Source organism: Homo sapiens, chromosome 9, assembly GCF_000001405.40.
Source record: "Homo sapiens chromosome 9, GRCh38.p14 Primary Assembly".
Lineage (NCBI taxonomy): Eukaryota > Metazoa > Chordata > Mammalia > Primates > Hominidae > Homo > Homo sapiens.
The window spans coordinates 79,569,545-79,586,843 of record NC_000009.12 but is presented as its reverse complement, the minus strand read 5'-3'; the positions used below and the strand labels follow the sequence as shown (position 1 = coordinate 79,586,843).

The 17,299-nt window shown below is 42.3% G+C and overlaps 1 protein-coding gene across 50 annotated transcripts in view, besides 11 other annotated features; it reads right to left on the bottom strand.

The window, feature by feature from the left end:
• The window catches only part of TLE4 (TLE family member 4, transcriptional corepressor), a 154,918-nt gene extending 140,039 nt beyond the window's left edge, over positions 1 to 14,879 (bottom strand). For 39 of the 50 annotated variants that reach the window (NR_104239.2, NM_001282760.2, XM_011518952.2 and 36 more), the window contains exons 1-4: positions 14,009 to 14,879; positions 13,058 to 13,155; positions 11,908 to 11,971; positions 10,667 to 10,711 (exon numbers count right to left, since the gene is read on the bottom strand). Coding sequence is in view for 48 of the 50 variants with exons in the window: in XM_011518952.2 (XP_011517254.1) it covers positions 10,667 to 10,711; positions 11,908 to 11,971; positions 13,058 to 13,155; positions 14,009 to 14,053 (252 nt within the window). In the remaining 2 variants the exon portion in view is untranslated. Of the gene's footprint in view, positions 1 to 10,666; positions 10,712 to 11,907; positions 11,972 to 13,057; positions 13,156 to 13,473; positions 13,668 to 14,008 lie in introns of those variants that run through there. The other 11 variants (XM_011518953.3, XM_017015067.2, NM_001351543.2 and 8 more) reach the window with 3 other exon arrangements.
• Positions 2,774 to 2,873: a silencer, noted in NCBI's record as "silent region_19974". NCBI's record gives its function as "represses an Ori minimal core promoter by ATAC-STARR-seq in GM12878 lymphoblastoid cells {active_cell/tissue: GM12878}" and the evidence as "EXISTENCE:reporter gene assay evidence [ECO:0000049][PMID:35858748]".
• Positions 13,268 to 13,507: a silencer, noted in NCBI's record as "silent region_19973". NCBI's record gives its function as "represses an Ori minimal core promoter by ATAC-STARR-seq in GM12878 lymphoblastoid cells {active_cell/tissue: GM12878}" and the evidence as "EXISTENCE:reporter gene assay evidence [ECO:0000049][PMID:35858748]".
• Positions 13,268 to 13,997: a biological region, named in NCBI's record as "H3K27ac hESC enhancer GRCh37_chr9:82187809-82188421".
• Positions 13,338 to 13,950: an enhancer, noted in NCBI's record as "H3K27ac hESC enhancer chr9:82187809-82188421 (GRCh37/hg19 assembly coordinates)". NCBI's record gives its function as "activates a minimal SCP1, AML or CMV promoter by ChIP-STARR-seq in naive H9 embryonic stem cells {active_cell/tissue: H9 hESC(naive)}" and the evidence as "EXISTENCE:reporter gene assay evidence [ECO:0000049][PMID:30033119]".
• Positions 13,528 to 13,997: a silencer, noted in NCBI's record as "silent region_19972". NCBI's record gives its function as "represses an Ori minimal core promoter by ATAC-STARR-seq in GM12878 lymphoblastoid cells {active_cell/tissue: GM12878}" and the evidence as "EXISTENCE:reporter gene assay evidence [ECO:0000049][PMID:35858748]".
• Positions 14,108 to 14,267: a silencer, noted in NCBI's record as "silent region_19971". NCBI's record gives its function as "represses an Ori minimal core promoter by ATAC-STARR-seq in GM12878 lymphoblastoid cells {active_cell/tissue: GM12878}" and the evidence as "EXISTENCE:reporter gene assay evidence [ECO:0000049][PMID:35858748]".
• Positions 14,328 to 14,447: a silencer, noted in NCBI's record as "silent region_19970". NCBI's record gives its function as "represses an Ori minimal core promoter by ATAC-STARR-seq in GM12878 lymphoblastoid cells {active_cell/tissue: GM12878}" and the evidence as "EXISTENCE:reporter gene assay evidence [ECO:0000049][PMID:35858748]".
• Positions 14,678 to 14,767: an enhancer, noted in NCBI's record as "active region_28491". NCBI's record gives its function as "activates an Ori minimal core promoter by ATAC-STARR-seq in GM12878 lymphoblastoid cells {active_cell/tissue: GM12878}" and the evidence as "EXISTENCE:reporter gene assay evidence [ECO:0000049][PMID:35858748]".
• Positions 14,808 to 14,857: an enhancer, noted in NCBI's record as "active region_28490". NCBI's record gives its function as "activates an Ori minimal core promoter by ATAC-STARR-seq in GM12878 lymphoblastoid cells {active_cell/tissue: GM12878}" and the evidence as "EXISTENCE:reporter gene assay evidence [ECO:0000049][PMID:35858748]".
• Positions 14,868 to 14,997: an enhancer, noted in NCBI's record as "active region_28489". NCBI's record gives its function as "activates an Ori minimal core promoter by ATAC-STARR-seq in GM12878 lymphoblastoid cells {active_cell/tissue: GM12878}" and the evidence as "EXISTENCE:reporter gene assay evidence [ECO:0000049][PMID:35858748]".
• Positions 16,358 to 16,407: a silencer, noted in NCBI's record as "silent region_19969". NCBI's record gives its function as "represses an Ori minimal core promoter by ATAC-STARR-seq in GM12878 lymphoblastoid cells {active_cell/tissue: GM12878}" and the evidence as "EXISTENCE:reporter gene assay evidence [ECO:0000049][PMID:35858748]".

Below are 17,299 nucleotides of genomic sequence, written 5' to 3'. Positions count from 1 at the left end.
CACCTACTATGTACTCTTAAAAATTAAAAATAAAAAAATTTTTTAAAACCAAAACCACATTCTTCCTTTTTGGAACTACACTTTAATGAAGGAACTTGATCTCTACTGTGTCTTTGATTTATAAACTCCAAAAGGCCAAGATTAAACATTTCTCCCTTCTTCTACTTATGATTAAGTCATTTATTTACAATGAATTTATCTTCCCTAAGGAAAGGGTCCTTGATGGGACAAAGCAAGAAAGTCCTGAGGACTTGAGATGTCAAGCTCACTGTAAGCCACAGTTTACAGACACGCTTTACCTCAAGCTAGAGAAACTGACACCTACCTTAGATTCTAGAAGAGTAACCCCCGGAGCTAATTACACAACAGGTAATAAACTGCTACATAGTCCCTTTGCACATCTTTGGAAGAAAATTATTGGATCACTTTATAATTCATACAATTTCAGAAGTCACACAATTTTCTTTTCTTTTTTTTTTTTTGTGACAGAGTCTTGCTCTGACGTCAGGCTGGAGTGCAGTGGCGCGATCTTGGCTCACCGCAACTTCTGACTCCCTGGTTCAAGTGATTCTCCTGCCTCAGCCCCCCGAGTAGCTGGGATTACAGTCATGCGCCACCACGCCCAGTTAATTTTTAGTAGAGACAGCGTTTCACCACATTGGCCAGGACAGTCTCGATCTCCTGACCTCATGATCCACCCACCTCAGCCTCCCAAAGTGCTGGGATTACAGGCGTAAGCCACGTGCCCAGCCTAAGTTTTCTAATATATGCCAAAGGAAAAGTACAAAAACTAATCACTTTAAAGACATACTGATATATTTTATGTTATATATACTTTTATATTACATGTTTTATGAAAATTGCTCTACTTCTGTGTCAACATTACTTTAGCCTGAACGCTGGCCATAAGAGAATCAGTGAATTGTAAACCACCTACTAATTAAGTGAAGAACTTTGTCATCTAACATCTGCGTCTCACTGTGTTCATCCACAGGACGGGGGGAATGCTTTATTATTGGGGTTTACATGAAAAAAAAGGATGAGAAAGTACCTTATAAAAAATAAAGTATTAATAGTATATAAATATACATTTCTACTCCTAGGCACATTGGGTAACTTTGGATTTTAAAAATTCTGAAAATAAGTGCTAAAAGAGACTTTCTAAGACTGAAAAAAAAAAATTCAATTTCTGTTCACTGGATCACAGCAACAAACCAAACTGAAATGGTCATTTTAACCAAAAGAGCTAAAAGAGATCTGGGCGTTCACTTACGCCCTAAGTTAAAGATGAGAAAAGCATGGCCCTTAAAGGTACGGTACTCAGCAATATCACAAAGCTGGTGACTAGCAAGGCCAGAACTAGAATCTGAGGCTCCGGAATCAGTCAAGCATTTGGGGGAAGGTAGTAAGTATGCTGATGGTGGAGTATTCCAAACATATCAACTGGAATAAGGCAGAAATATCTGTCATACCAGCGTTCTGACCTTGAGTCAAACCCAAGATCTATTTTACCGGCTAGCTGATTTCAAGCAAGCTATTTAAGCTCTCTGTGTCTCAGCCCCAACATACGTAAAATGGAAATAATACTACTACTATAATCTCATAAGATTGTTGTAAGAATAAGTGAAATATTATCGACACTATAAGCAATCTAAAATTGCTTACTGTTATGATTACTATTCTTTCAACAACGTTATACTATCTCTACTAATAAAAAAAATTAAGACATTTTCAAAATTCCTTGTCCCTTGAAAAGAACTAAAACCTTGCATTTTTTACTGATTTGCAGGGAAGTTAGCTAAACACACAATATAGTCAAGATCGATATTGCTCCACATTCATTCAAACCACAGGTACACAGACCTATTAATAGTAAAAGAATTATTCAGATAAACACTGACTAGTGATACAGTGACGTTCAAACTGAATTTTAAATTCTGTTTGGAATGATTCATGTTTTCATCTTTAAAAAGGCAGACTCAACATACTAAAATACATACATTCTACTTTAGCTATACTAACTTGTTCCTCAAAGGCACAGCAAGTTCGGTTGCTTTTGCTTCCTCTTTCCAAGTGTCACTTTTCCACAAACTAGTAGACAACACAGACCTAAGTATGCCTGAGATTCAGTATTTGTTATCTATCTTGCAACCTAATATACCCTTAAAAATATTAAATCACACATATTCTTGGCTAGCTCTAACTGCTATTCTCTCATTCACCAAATATTTTATTGCGCACCAGCATCTACTATGCGATAGGCACAGGGCTCAACACCGGGTACACAGCAGTAAACAATAAAAGCTCCTGTTTTCATGGAGCTTACAATCTAGCACGAGAGAGAGACAGGAAATAAACAGGTAAGTATCTAACACAGTGTGTTTGCATGGTACAGTTCAGGAATGCCAGATAGCCAGTTTTATCAAGCACTTTTCTAAAAGTGGACCTTGGCTTTATATTTCAATATTGCTGATCCTAGACTCCCTTTGGGCAGGGCAGAGGCAATGAGAGGGTAGAAGGGAGGGGAGGGAGGAGCTGTCCTCAAACACAAACACAGATCAGATCTCTCACTAGAGATGACGGTGTAACACTCTTGGACTGCCAGTAGCATCACCATGCTCCTCATGTTGCAGAAAGCCAAACACATCATAGAAACAAGCATGTTATTTGCTGTTTGGAAACAGCATGGTCAGCGAAGGGAGCCCTGGAAGGGAAGTCAAGAAACCTACTATTTCCTCTTCTGCCAGTGACTCTCACTATGCAACCTCAGGCGCATTCGCTGACCTGCGTGAACTCTGGTATCTCCACCCCCGTGCTGATCCTCCCTGACTGTGACACTGGGCTAGTCTCTTAAGCCCTTAAGCCTCAGTGTTATCTATTAAAGGAGGCCAGTAGAATGACACTGCTTGGCAAACTGTTGGGTACTCCACTGACAGAAGCTATTTAAATAAATACATGGATCCAAGCTTGCTACCTGCTTCACAGAACATAAGGAACATTAAAGAGAACATATAAAATGCCTTAAGCTCTCTGTAAAGAAAGGGTGTTACAGAGTACTAGTGCTTATAATTTCTACTATGACTATTCTTTCCAGTTATATTTTCTTGCAGTTTCAAATTCAATAACCAAAATCATCCACAGACCTTCAGAAACAGAATACATAGTTCGAAAATAAGGACAGAACCCAAATTACAATAATAATAATAATAATAATGAGTTAAATAAGCCTGCTAAGAAATGAAAAAGCCAATATCCCCCCTCCTCCTTCCCCAACCTCTCACTTTGCCTAGGTTGCTGCAAGCAACAGGGCCCTGCAGAGGTCCCAAGCACACCACAGCCAGCCCAGGTTGGGGATAGAGTATTGTCTCGCACCGGGAGAGAAGTTATCCTTTCATTCCGTGAAACGCAGAAGCTGCCTCCACCATACAATTCTTGAAATGTGTGTGGGCAAATCCTCAAAAGAGATGACAGTGCGATCCACTCACCAGAGGACAGAGTACCTAAGGGGTATCCCAGAGTACTTCTCTTCTGCTTATTTGATGAACCAGCTAAGAAAATCCACACCCTGCCCATGTGTCACCCCTGGATGGAATAAGGGTTACACGTGCAGCTCTCCAGGGATAAGTTTTGGGTCAATGATATAGAAATAGCAACAGCCTGGCATAAATGCTGGGTAAGTTCCAATGAAAAGAGAGAGGGTATATAGATTTGTGGTGATGAATGCCAGCTAAATCCCTCTCCATAGATAGAAAACAACTACCACTGAGAGCTATTACTAAGGCAAAGACAAAACAGCTCTAACTCTTGCTTCTGACTAAAACTTCTGAGGCCCTTCCTCTTTAGAGTAATAATTTCATAAACTGTTCGCAGTATACTTACTTTGAACAAGTCCTAAGCCTTGCAAACTGTCATTATCAGTGTAAATACTCCATTGCCCATGCGTAAATGTGCTGCCCCCCTGCTTCTCTCCAACAGCCCAGCTTACAAAACTGGTAATAACTTAGCTAGTATAGGACCACTGAACCTACCACCATTGCTGGAACGCTGGAGTCATTTTAAGAGGGTGTGTAGAGGGATCAAGAAAGTGCCTTCTAGAACTCACATCCCTGTCCCTCTTTTCTCTAGCCACCAAATACATTATTGCTGTCCAGAAGTGGTAAACCAAACCATCGAATCACATCAAAGGCAAAAAAAAAAAAAAAAAGCCACATTAAAAACAAACACAAATAACTTATAAATGCATTTTTTAAACATTTAATTCCCAACTGGTTTCCTCTACCTATCTTATAACACAAGAAAAAAAAGAAGAAATAAAAAAGATGTATTCTAGGAAAGCAAAGATTAAATGAAGAATGTGAAGAACAATGGGCTGGTGCTTGTATTGTCTCCTTCACCAGTGCTGCAACAGCACCTAGAGATGTAGCTCATTAGTCCGGTCCATCATTCCTACACAGATCAAAGTGATATATACCTAGATACAAAGAACTTTGCCCATCAAAATAATAAATACAAATAAATAATATCCAGCAGGGATTAAGGGGCAGTGAAAAGGAACTATCCTTTTGTTTGAATGCTGCAAAGAAATTCTTTTAACAGTAAAAGCAAAACATCTGCCTTCATTTAAAACTGAGTTGTGTGATTTCCTGCATCGACGAACCTCTTTCTAAACTACAAAGAGGCTACAAAACATCACATTTTCCCCTCCCAGCTTCCCCCTTCAAAAGCCCACAAGATGGTGATTAACAAACAGCCCCTTGTCTGTAGGCACTCTCATAAGCCACAGGAAAAGATAAAAGTTAAAGAGAAGAACAAGTTTGTAAACAAATGAGAAATAGGTTGCCTAGGGAGGAAGCAAATTCCATCTTGATAAGCAAGCAGCTTCCCTAGCCCACATGTGGGAGATTCCGAGTGAAAGCAACCTCACCCTCTCACCCACTGAAAGCAGTCTGCAAGCAGAGGGCAGGCTGAGCCATCCATGGACTCTAGGCAGTTGCAGAGAATCCCCCAACTCAAGAGGTTCTGCGTATGAGCCTAAAGTTCAGGGACTCTCTATTTCAGGAATGAACTGGGGCCTGAATCTCTAACCCATAGCAAACCCATCTCCCAGGAGATATCCTCCCACATAAATTTATTTGAAGTCCTGAATCCACCAACTATTAGCTGTATCACCTTGTGCAGAGCTGACCCTGTTTAATCAACTTTTGATTGGATATAATCCCTGTCTTAGGATCATTATGAGAACTAACGATAAGAATTTTGGCAGTGTGCCCAGACCAGTGGTAAGCGCAAGCCAGATATATAATAAATGTTTACTTCTATTGAAAGGAAATTCCAATTTCACTCAAGAATCACTGCCTTAGGTGAAAAATCCAGATATCCTCCTATGGTATCTCTAGAAAGACAAAAGAATCCATCATGGGAGAAGGAAAAAGGGAACTCCCCACAGTATTCGGAAAACACACACCCTAAAACATACACACACTGTAACAGGTTAAATTTCATCCTCCAGATCTGCTTCCCGTGCAGGTGCTGTAATAAGTAAAAGGACAGGTCACTGGGTCCTGCCCAAGGTGCTTCCACTTACTTATCAACTGCCCTAATACTAGACCTTCTGAAGGGTTTTGGGAAAAAATCTAATTTAAAACCTACACTCATTTAGATTTACTAAACAGGAGTAAATGAAGTTGGCCTCCTATTTTAAAATGCCCAAATGAGAGGTAAAGGGGAAAAAACACCACCAATACCCTTCACTCCGTTAACATTAATTGTGGAATATTATCAGCGTGTAAATAATCTTAAATTAGAAAAGGTGGCTTTAAACCTTAATGAAAACCAAAAACACAAGAACCCTTCCCACCCCCACACACATAGTCTTATAATTGTATCTGAAGTTTATGCAGACATCAAAATTTCACTTGTCATCTTTAAGATTTTATAATCTAGTAGTATCTACCCACTATTCAGGCCCTCTAGATTGTTATTTCCTAATATTTCTGAAGCAAGATAAAGTTCTGTCAGCAAAATCTTCATTTATTAGTTACTTTCAGCTAGAACACCCCATCTTCCATGATAGTTCACTCTCATTATTATACAAGAGTTCAATTATACCTATCTCTGAAAAAAAAAAAGGCACTGGGTAAGAATATAACAGACACATTTGTGCCTCCATACTAAAACACCTACTCCTCCATCTACTCTTCTAAATCTAAGAGTACACAATAAGACAGAAGATGTGCAAAAAACTGGCAAGGTTGAAAAAAAAAGTTATCATAAGGGAAATGTGGTCTAAAATGAACTTTCAACAAACTTCATAGCAAGCAGTGTCCCCAAATAAATTTACTGCACCCTAGATTCAAGTACACTCAAGGCTAGAATGTCATGCCAGTCATGTATTACTTCAATCTCAATAAATCTCTTCTTACTCTCCAAATCCTAGCTGCTTTCTAAAATAGTTCACTAAAAAACACCAACCTAATTAACAACAGCTTCCTCTGCAACAGTGGCCTTGATTTCACTTATTTACACATTAACTGCAGCCTGCTTTTGGCCAATCCAGTCTATTCTCTGTACCATGCCGAGCCTTTTATCTGCCCTGGACAGCATTTTCTCCAGCAGATGAAGTAGATGCCGATTGATTTGCTGTCGAGCATGGTAAATTAATAGCAACAAATTGCTGAGGGCCCGTCTCGCTGCTCCACCATGCTTCGGCAGTTTTGCTTTATTTGCTCCATGATGGGCAGCAGTCGGCCTCTTCAAGTCAATTTCTTCTTAACAACCTGCAATACTTTTCAATGGTGAAAATAGAGCTGTTCCTTGTAAGTCAGAAATCAATATCTTATTGCCCTTAGAAAATGCTAAACAAGCAGTATTGGCAATCCACTTGGTACTAGAGGGTATCAGATACAATGCAAATCCATACTGCTTCCCTCCTTGTAGTTATTACAGTTTGCTAAAAGGTTCCTAATGTCATTTATCATCATTTACCATCGACCAAAGAGGCTATGATTATGATATCCTATCAGTTGGCAAGGCCCTTTCATTTCTATTCAATTAATATTTTAGCAGCACTCAAATGGTTGTGGCCCAAGTCTCGTAATAAAATTTACATGGCTTTAAGTGAAACAGGAGTTTTCTTGCTTTGATTAAATATACATATATATATACACACACACACACACAAATACACACACATATAAAAATACACACATAAAACATACATAAATGTGCAGTACTTACTTTCAGATTCTATGCGTTTTAGATTTCTAAAATTTCCTGATGATTACTAAAATTCAAATGAAGAAGCTTTCACATTGTAGAATACTAACTATAAGGAAGTCATAGATGTTCTCATGCTCCCCTTTTCAAAAGATGGTATGTTCATCTCCATATAGTTCCTATAGGTTGAATTCACATACCTACTGTTCCTAATCTATATCCAATACTCACTTTTTAGAATGGTAACCACTGCTGTCAGAGTCCATCAGTGAGGACTTCTTTAATGACAGCATTACAGGTGAAAGATGGGAAGAAGCAGCATTTAGTAATGCTATCAACTCCATGCATCACCCCACTGTGCCATTTAGAAGCCACCAACCCATTTAGAAGCCACACTGTATTTACAAAGAAGAACAATCAGCAAAAAAACTTAACAACTAAACCCTGGGTCAGCTGTCTCATACAAAACAAAAAACAAAAACCATACACTTAGGGAAATCCTTAGGGAATAAGGGCCTATGTTCTTTCATTTTTAAAAATTCCATTTTGAAGACGTCACACTAAAACATGTGCCATTTCTAACCATGTCCTATTTGTCATCTTCACTTTTATGCTAGAACTTGAGACAATGGCACAGCATTAATTCCCATTATAGCCTAGAATACTTCATCCTTTTTTTTTTTTTTGCTTCATCTGCTTAGCTCTATCAATCCTAAAGATTACCAGAAATTTAGATTCATATTTTATGTTCCAATTCCACGTCATATCACCAAGTTCCCCTTTAAAAAAAAAAAAAATCCACTAATTCTACCAGACTAATGCTATTTACTCAGTTACCAAAATTTAAATTAATTATGTTCTCAAACATAATTGTTAAAAATTGGCAACATTATGCAGGCTTAATTAAGATTAAATCCAATTTACTAAATGTACTTTAATTGGTACTAATTACATTAGCTTTCATTTCAGAATGACAAATTCCCCATAGGTTTCATTTTATAGTTCTCTATCAGAATCAACACAGGGGGACTGATGATGAGCACCACATAGAAAGGGTAGGAGGGAGAACACCGACCTCCACCCTGTTTGTCTTTGCTTCATACTTTTATCTTTTTATCAGTTTGCTAAGTCACAGAGCCATGACTGCATCACAACCACCATTTTCTGTTCCAATGAAAAATTTCTCTAAAAATAAATATTCTGTGGCTAGCAGCAGCCAAGAAGAACAGGAACGTTAACCAAAAAATACACAAAGGTTTCAAATATCAGGGCCACCAATTACTAGGGTACTTCCAAGGGCTCCCGGGACTCCTACTGTTGAACCCTTCGAGACACAAATCTAATAAGTGAATAAACCTAACCCGATCTTGAGAACTAGGCCCAATTATGCCGCAGGGCAACTTCCCTGCATTATTGCTGCTTTCCATTACAAGGGTATCCAGCGAGTACATCTGGAAGAGAGGCTAAGAGGAACTAAGGCTGTCTGCCTAGGAAAACAAATAAAGACAGATATGCCTCTATGCTTAAGGGGGAGAAAGAAAGAAAATATAATAAGTAGGTGGTTTGCAGGGCTGTCTGTATTTCATAATGTGATAAACTGCCCTCAGGATTCTTGATATGATTGAATTTAAAAGGAAACGAAAAAAAGGGAAAATGTACTGTTCTCAATTTTAAATGGATGGCATTTGAGGCTAGCTGGACAAGAAGATGACAGAATTATAGCAGTATAAAATGTGTAAAATTAAGGGATTTCACATACCCCCTCGAAAAAGAAATACATACAGCCAAATACAAGCTATGTGCCTCTTAGAAATGTAGATGGTACAAGGAGACCTGGAAACTAAGTGGTTAGGGTAAACAAGATACAGAAGGAGAAATAAAGGGACTAAATTAATCATCTGGTCCAATCTTTAAAAAGACACTAATTAATTTTGGGGAGTGGGGTGCAGACAAAAAAAGAGACATACACAAGATCCAGACCTCAAAGGAAATGTAATGGGATAATTAACAAACAATATCTCTCATGTAATTTATTCCTGTAAGGTAGAACTAAGAGAAGTCCATCCACAAGATTGAACAGATTTTGTTTAAGCAGAAGATATTTACATTACTAATCTAAACAGAAATGACAAAGATGCCAAAATAAGAATTTAATTTCAACAGGCCATTCAAACTATACTATAATGCTAATATTGACATAACCAAATAGCATACAAAGTAAAACAGTATCTGAAATTAAAAGTCCTCAATGTAAGCAACGTCTCATTTTTTTCCAACTTTTTGTTTTCCAATACTATTCATCAGATTGCCTTATTGTCTAACAGCCATCTCTTAAAGATCTACTATCTGGGATGTTCTGAGCATGTAGAAAATAACTATACCCAAAAAGGAATCCATAAATAGTGAAGGCCTAATAGTATGTGCTCATTTCATATTTTCTCAACTTAGAAAGTAATGACATCCACCTTGACCATAAATAGGAAATGAAAAGCAGTAAGTTTTCCCTTGTCTTTTTCCCAGCAGACAAACACATACACACCTATTCTGAAATGGCTGATGAGACCTGAAGTGCTTCCACTAGGAGATCACTAAAAATAAATGCTTCCTAGAGGAATTACTATCGCCAAACAATATTTATATATATATATGTATGTATATATATTTGTGTGTGTGTATATATATATATAGATAGATATACCCGCTATTATTCTTCTGTCTAGGAAATTTAAGCCAAACCATTTTATTCAGTCTCCTGCACAAAAAGAAGACTGTTTGAGTCGTATCTCTCAGTGCTTTCTGACTAATCATTTTTTTTTTTTTTTGCTACTGAACTAATTGCTAGATTTCAAGACCCAATGTTGAACCTTATCACATCCTCCTATCAGGCTCATTTACTCTGTACAAATTTTGGAAGTAACGGTTATAGTTCTTGGTAAGACCCAACTAAGTAGCCTCAGGGGACCAGTACAAGGATTTTACATCAATTTCTTTTGTAGCTCCACAGATTTCATTTTCATCCTCCCAGCTCACCCTCTATCCATTCTTTCACATCAAGCCAACGAAGGCGCCACACAATTTAATTTTACTGTTTAATATTTTCCAAGAAAAGCTCTTTCACAAGACAAGTTTGCAATGCCCAAAATACATAAAGCAACTCTTTCAGAAGAATAACAAGAGGATTTTAAAATTTAGCATCCTGCTTTTGAAAGTGTACAGAGTTTAATATGTATTCAGACTTTTTAAAATAACATTTTTAAATTATAAAAATTAGGATAATATGAAAGAAAGATGGGGAGCCACACATGAAAAAACAGCATTTTCTTCACTACCCAGACTTTTAAATACAGGTAGCCACAACGGCTTGCAGAATAAAACTGCAAAACATACAATTTTCTTTTCATAGTGTCCCAGTATTACTGTCATTTAAAATGGTTATAAAGAAATAACTTACCTGCTTGTGCATTTCTATATTCAACCCATAGGACATTTCATAATACTGTCAAAGAAGGAAAAGCAATTAAATGCATGACTTTCATCAAACAATCTCCCTAGTTTGTTCAAAATGCCCCAAGTAAATCTGAAACAAACATAAAAGCCTCACCTAAACCAGTATCTTCATATAACCTATGCCAATAAATCAAGAGCCCATCACTATCTTTAACCACCTTAAGACACAAATTCTAAGAGAAAACACACAAAACTAAGAAAAATTAAATTCAAACACAGCATTCTTAACATCTCCAGTTTCTTTATACATCCCAAGCAGATGCATCAAAAAAGTCTGATGAAAATTTGGTATCCTACGGACTCTTAATTCCTAAGCACAGCAGGCAAGTTAACAGCAAAGAATGCCTTATACAAACGCTGATGTTTTGAAAGGAAGGTTGGAAAAGGTGATGCTACTTAGAGTTTGATTTCTGATTTGTTAGTGTACTGCTCATATTCACACATTCAAAGCAAAAAAGCTAGATAGAAAAATAAATGAGTGGGTTATTCTGGAGCTTTCTTGGACAATCATAAAAATATGCTTCATAATACTTCTGTAAAAGCAGATCTGGTTTTTTGAACGTGTAGTATAACTGGCATAGAAATTCTGGCAGAACACATCAGTTATACAGGAGACTACAACATTCCTCAAACCAATATAACACTACAGAAATTGAAAACATACAAATATTAATGTAATAGTAACATAAAGAGAAAAAAATTTGAAAAATGGTCTGCTGTCTTTCCTTATCCATCACTCCTTTTCAAAGAAATAAAACATTATTTTTTAATAATGTCTTTAATAATAAGACATTTACAATGTTAACAGCATACAGAAAAACTGGCAAAAATTGTTTGGAGCAAGAGCAATAAAACAACAAAGAAAGCCACTAACACAAAAACATTTTTGCTTGTGACAAAACAAACAAGGTTTTGTTTTTATTTTTTTTCGATCTGTAAAAACAAAGCACAGAAAATTATACCCCATGTGGCTGAACTTTCTGAAAATTCCAATCAAAGCCAGTTGTCAAAGGCAAGTTATAACAGCCTAGAATTACAGGTTGCTAATAGACATATTCCCACAACTTCAACTGCACTGGCAGGGTGACTGTGATCTATCTTGCAGCCCCCAGCAATTTAAACATATTCTTGTTTTTGGTATTCCAAACTAATAGGCACTTTGAATCTGTGACATGGTTTTCTTACCATGACATAATGCCGCTGCATCTCTGTCTTCTCACTGGCGAGTTTCTCACATTCCAGCTTCAGACTGTTCAAGACATAAGATACTCTAAGTACAATGATCTTAACTTACATCCTTCAACTCTTAAACGCATATTCTAAATCTCACCTACAAACAACTAAATCAACAATCTTAAATAAATACCCCCATCATTATGGAAAGGGAAGGGGAAAGGGGTGATTGGAACCAGTCTGGACTTGCCCCTTCAATAAGGATCATATATGTGGTTTTTTGTTTTTAGGATTTTTTTTTTAATTAAGTTTTAAGGAAACAAATCCTCTAATCAGTTTAATTCAGGAACTTCCTCCAGAATTGAATATTCACTTAATAAAACAAACACGAAAATAAACTTCAATAATGACTGCACATACAAGCACAAATAAGTCCTCCAAAACGTCACAAGGGAATTTCTTTAATGTTCTACAAAGAGATTAATGAAAATATGAATCAAGCATGTCTTATGAATGATATCTTGTTTTTTTCCCTCCAAAACACACAGACAAGTTGAATACCACCACCCAGGGGCAAAGTGTCAATCGGGTTCAGTGGTTTGTTTTGGTTCTTGCATTTATGAAATAAGAATTAGGCATCATTAAAAAGCCAGCTAAAGAAAAATGTCTCAAAGGCACCCTAAGTCTAAAAATCGTCTATAAGATGAAAACATTTTTTTTTTTTTTAGCATAAAAGTAATGAAATCGCTCACTCCGACTTCCCTGGGCTCTCAGCTCTTCAGTGGAATGGCAGAAAAAAGTGAGAAGGAATCAAGTCCGGAGTAATAAAGAACCAAGGATGTCAAAAGGCCCCAGAATCTTCCCAACCTTTCATTCTCCCGGCCCCAATAAATCAATATCGAAAGTTTGGCCTCAGCGTTTTCCAAGTCTCCCCAGTTTCGATTGTTCTGCCTTCTTTTTATTTACGGTAGAAGAAATGTTTAATTTATTTACACCTGCCTAAGGAAGGAGGCCTTGATTTGCCCTTTCTGCCCACCGAGAAAAAAAAATAATACCTTTGTGACGCCCCCACAAAAAAGGAGGAGGGTAAGTGTTTGTGTGTATTTGTCGGGGAGACAAGAGCTAAGCAAACAGAAGGATCAGCTAAAGTCAATATCGTTACCTGTGGTATTGAGCCTGTAAAAACTGAAACTCTTCCTTAATCCGATCACAGGATTCGGAAATTGTAAATTTAAAGGGTTGAGCAGGCTGATGCGGTGCCTGAAGAACAACAATAAAATATTTAATTAGCCCACATCACAGGCGAAGCAGGGAGACGGAGAAAACCTACTATGCGGCGTTAGCGGGGGGTGAGGGTCATCGCGCACGCAAGCAAAGAGAGATTAAAACTCTCCTCCCGCAACCCTCCTCGCGCCCAACAGCCCAGGCAGAGGCTGGTTTCGAGGTGGTCCTGGGGCCCCGCATACTCCCGCCCGCAGGCCCCCGCGCCCCGGACCCCGAGGGTTCGAGTCCCGTCTCCCCTCCCCGGCCAAAGACAGGCACCCAGGGACCCGCGCGCCGCGCCCACTCCCTCCTCACCCGGAATCGAAACTGGCCCGTCGGGGGGACCCGCGCCATGGCGTCGGGCTGCGGTCAGGCCGGGGGAGGAGGGAGGCGGCCGCCACCCTCTCGGCTCGTTCGTTCGCCCGCTCGCCCCGGCGGCCCGCGGCGCGAGGGGCCGGCGCCCCGCACTTCCAAACCGCAGCCAGCCCAGCAGCGCCGCTGCCGAGGGCGCCCTCCCCGCCCGGGCGCGGAGTCGCGCCTCCTTCATCGCTCGCCACCCCCCCTCGAGGAGTCGCGGCGCGGGGACCGCAAACGGCTCGGCGCGGCTTCCAGGGGCTTCAAAGACAACAATAAGAAAATGGCTACAACTCAATTGCCTCTCCGCACCCCCTCCGAGGGCCACCGCGCCGGGGGGTGGGGGTGATGGCGGGCGGGCTGCTCCCGGCGCGGGGCGCCGATTTCGGGCGGCTCTCCACGCCCCTCCGGCCAAAAGACACAACTCGGTGCGCAGGGGGCGACGCGGGGAATCCCCCAGCACCCGGCGAGCCCGCGCCCCGCCGCCCGCACTCACTGGGTGTCTGGTCTGCGGGTACATCTTGCTCAGGTCGCGAATCATCCAAGCCGATTTAGTTGGCTGCGCTCGGCAGAGGCGCGCGGCTCATTGGCTTTAATGACCCCGAAGAGGAGGCGGCCGCGGCAGCGGAGGCGGCCGGCTCGGTCTGAGGGGCGGCTCGGGCGGTCCCGGCCCCCGCCGGGTCTCGCGTGACACGGGCGGCAGGAACGCGCGGCGGCGGCTGGGTGCCGGCTGCCGGGCCGCTCCGCATTCCCCGCGGGCGTCACTGGCCCGCCGCGGGCATTGTCCGGCGCGCGTCTCCCAAGGCAACGCTCCGACGTTCGCTCCGCCGAGGCGCACCCGCCGAGCCCGGCGCCGCGGCCGCCGCTCACCCGGCCGGGAAAGTGCGGGCTCCGCGCCCCACCGCCCGCCGGCAGCTCCTCTCGCTCGCTCTGCGTCCCACTCCAAACTTTTTTTATTTGTCTTTTAATTGGTTGTTATTCCTCCGAATGAATGATCTTTCTTCTTCCCTAAAAGCAAACACAAACTCCTTTGGTTCGGAAGAGGTCTCGGCGGTGCTTTTTGGTTTCTCTGGAGATTTTTTTCACTTCACAGCAACGATCTTTTAAAAGGCACCTTTTAGCTTCTTTTACCACATCTCATTTCCTTATTTCTCTTCCTTCCTGTTTTCTTGTCTTTTTTTTAACCCCAAATTGAAGGGGATTATAAAAATAAAAGAGTGAAACGCTTGCGGCTTTTTTTTTTAATTCTCTCTCCTTTCAAACTCTGCGAACACCACCTCAAAATAATATACAAGTGTGTGAGAAAGGGGGAAGAAAGCAGCCAACAACCCAAACACCCGCTCAGCACAGCTCTAACAACACGCTCTGTGTAGGTGACTTCTTTGACCAAATTTAGCAGCAGCTAATCATTAACATTCTGATACATATTCACAATCTTCCGCGGGGCGGCCGCGCAGCATCCCGGGAGATGTAGTCCGCCCCGGGCGACCCTGCCTGAGAATACGGCCAGATTGACTACAATCACCGGCCCGCCATGCGAGCGCTCTGGCGAGCTCTCCAAGCGCCCCGCCCACCCCCGTTGCGGTAGGCGTCTCCACCAACCAATCAGAGGTGGCTGAACATTAATCGCCGTTCTGTGTTAGTGCCCATCATTTCACTGCTGACAAATGGCAAGCCAGCGGGGAGGAGCCAACCCAGCTGAAACCCACGTGGGGGCCGGGCGTCGCCTGTAGCTCCGACCAATTAACGAAGAGGAATGAGGTTGGCGGAGGCGGGGCGGAGATGGCCCGCCCAAGGCGGAGCTTCGCCTTGGCTGACGTTCCTTAGCGCGAGCGTTCGAACCGGGAAAACATTTGTTCAGCTGTCAATCAAAGTAACGTGGGGCTGGGAGAATCGGCGGCTGCTGCTGTTGCTGCTGCCCTGGCTGCATCTTCAGAATTAGGTGTTGGTGGTGGTGGTGGTGGTGGCGGCAAAATAAAGAGGGTGGAGGGAGCGGTGAGCCTGGGGGCTGGTCAAAAGATCTTCTTCCGAGTCTCGTCCTCCCGCCCACCCGTCTCCCAACCCAGACACCTTCGGCCCCTCGCTCCGCAGCCGCGCCAGGAATGCGGACTAATTAGGGTCCAATGTCTCCTTAAAGAGACAAGCTCGGCCTTGTGTAACGCGCCGAAACCCCTGTTGAGACAAGAGGGGGAGGATCACGCTGATCTTACTTCGTTCGGTTCACATCAATTTTACGCGCCGCTGGAGCCGGCATAATTTTCCGTGTGAACGCGACTCGGTCCCCGTTCTTGTTTAGAGCCAGAAATGGAGTCGCGAGATGCTGGCTGGGGCCGGGGCCGCGGGGTGGGCGGGGAGCTCGTCCCTCCAAGCCCCGCGGGGGCTGTGATTGCCATTTAGTTCCGAAACAGGCCTCCCTCCCTCCACCCCCGGAGGCACTCGGAGAGAAAGCGCATCCCGACGCTCCATCGGGGGTCGCGGGGGGCAGTAACCGTGGGGGCTCCGGGTGGGGCTGAAGATCCGGGAATCAGAGACGCTGGACCTCCAAAGAAACTTTGCCGACTGGGCCACGTGAACCCCGAACACGGTCGGTACTGAACAGAGCAGGCCGACGGGGCACGGGTAGAAAACGCCCCTGCGCGCCCTGGGACGTTCCCTCCCCCAGATCAGTACCAAGACTGCGCCTCTTTTTCCCGCTCTTTGGAGAAGCAAGTCAAGTTTATCCCCGTTAAAAACAGAGCAGGGTGCCACGCGGGCCCGAGAGATGGCGGAAAGGTGGGGGTGGCCCCAGGGGCAGATGCTGGAGGAGGAGAGAAAGGGGCAGCCATGGCTGAGGAGGGGCACCCCTAGGGAGGGGCCTGGGAAATGGGGGCGGCCTCCGTCAGTGCGCCTTTCCATCCTTAGTCCGTGTCCAGCTGGAGGCAGCGCCCCAGTTCAAGGGGAGGCTGCTGAGGCTCGCAGTCTTTTCTAGCGAGCGGCTAATCTTGGGGACAGGGAAAAAATTCGGAAAAAGTCAAGAAGAGTGTTGGCTAATGTAACAGGCTGGGTTTTAGACGTTTATTTCTATGCGTGCTTGCCTACTGTAACTTGACCTGTTGGTTGAGATGGTGCCGCCGGTTCGGCGTTAGTGGAAAACTATTCTTCTTAATGATATCCCTTTCCTCAGTGGATGACTCGGTGACTTAATGTCCAACCTAGCACGTTCTGTGAACCTCCTTCCGTTCTGGCCACTGTAGTGAGCTGGTGCAAAGGAAGGCTATGGTGGTCTTCACCTGCCTCTAATTTCATACTAAAAACCCAGAGCCAAAGTTCACAGAATGTTTCAATTCGGCAAATATTTTCGCCTCCATCCCCAAAATAAGAGGACAGAGAAGTCCTTTTGACAGTTTTCTGAACCTCTGCTGTTCCATACCTAGCCACATGTGACTGTTAAGCACTTGAAATGTGTCCAATTCAAAATGAGATGTGCTGTAAGTACACATATATGTGGCATTTTGAAAAAATTAATGTGAAAAAACTGCAGCTCAATAATTTATAATTATGTCAAAATTGTGATATTTTGAATAACTCAATTAAAAATATTAGTAAAATTAATTTTGTCTGTTTCTATTTATTTATTGTATTGATGGGGGTCTTCCTGTGTTGCCTAGGCTGGCCTCAAACTCTGAAGCTCAAGCTATCCTCCTGCCTGAGCCTCCAGTGTTGTTGGGACTGCAGGCACACACTTTTTTTTTTTTTTTTTTTTTTTTTTGAGACAGAGTTTCGCTCTTGTTGCCCAGGCTGGAGTGCA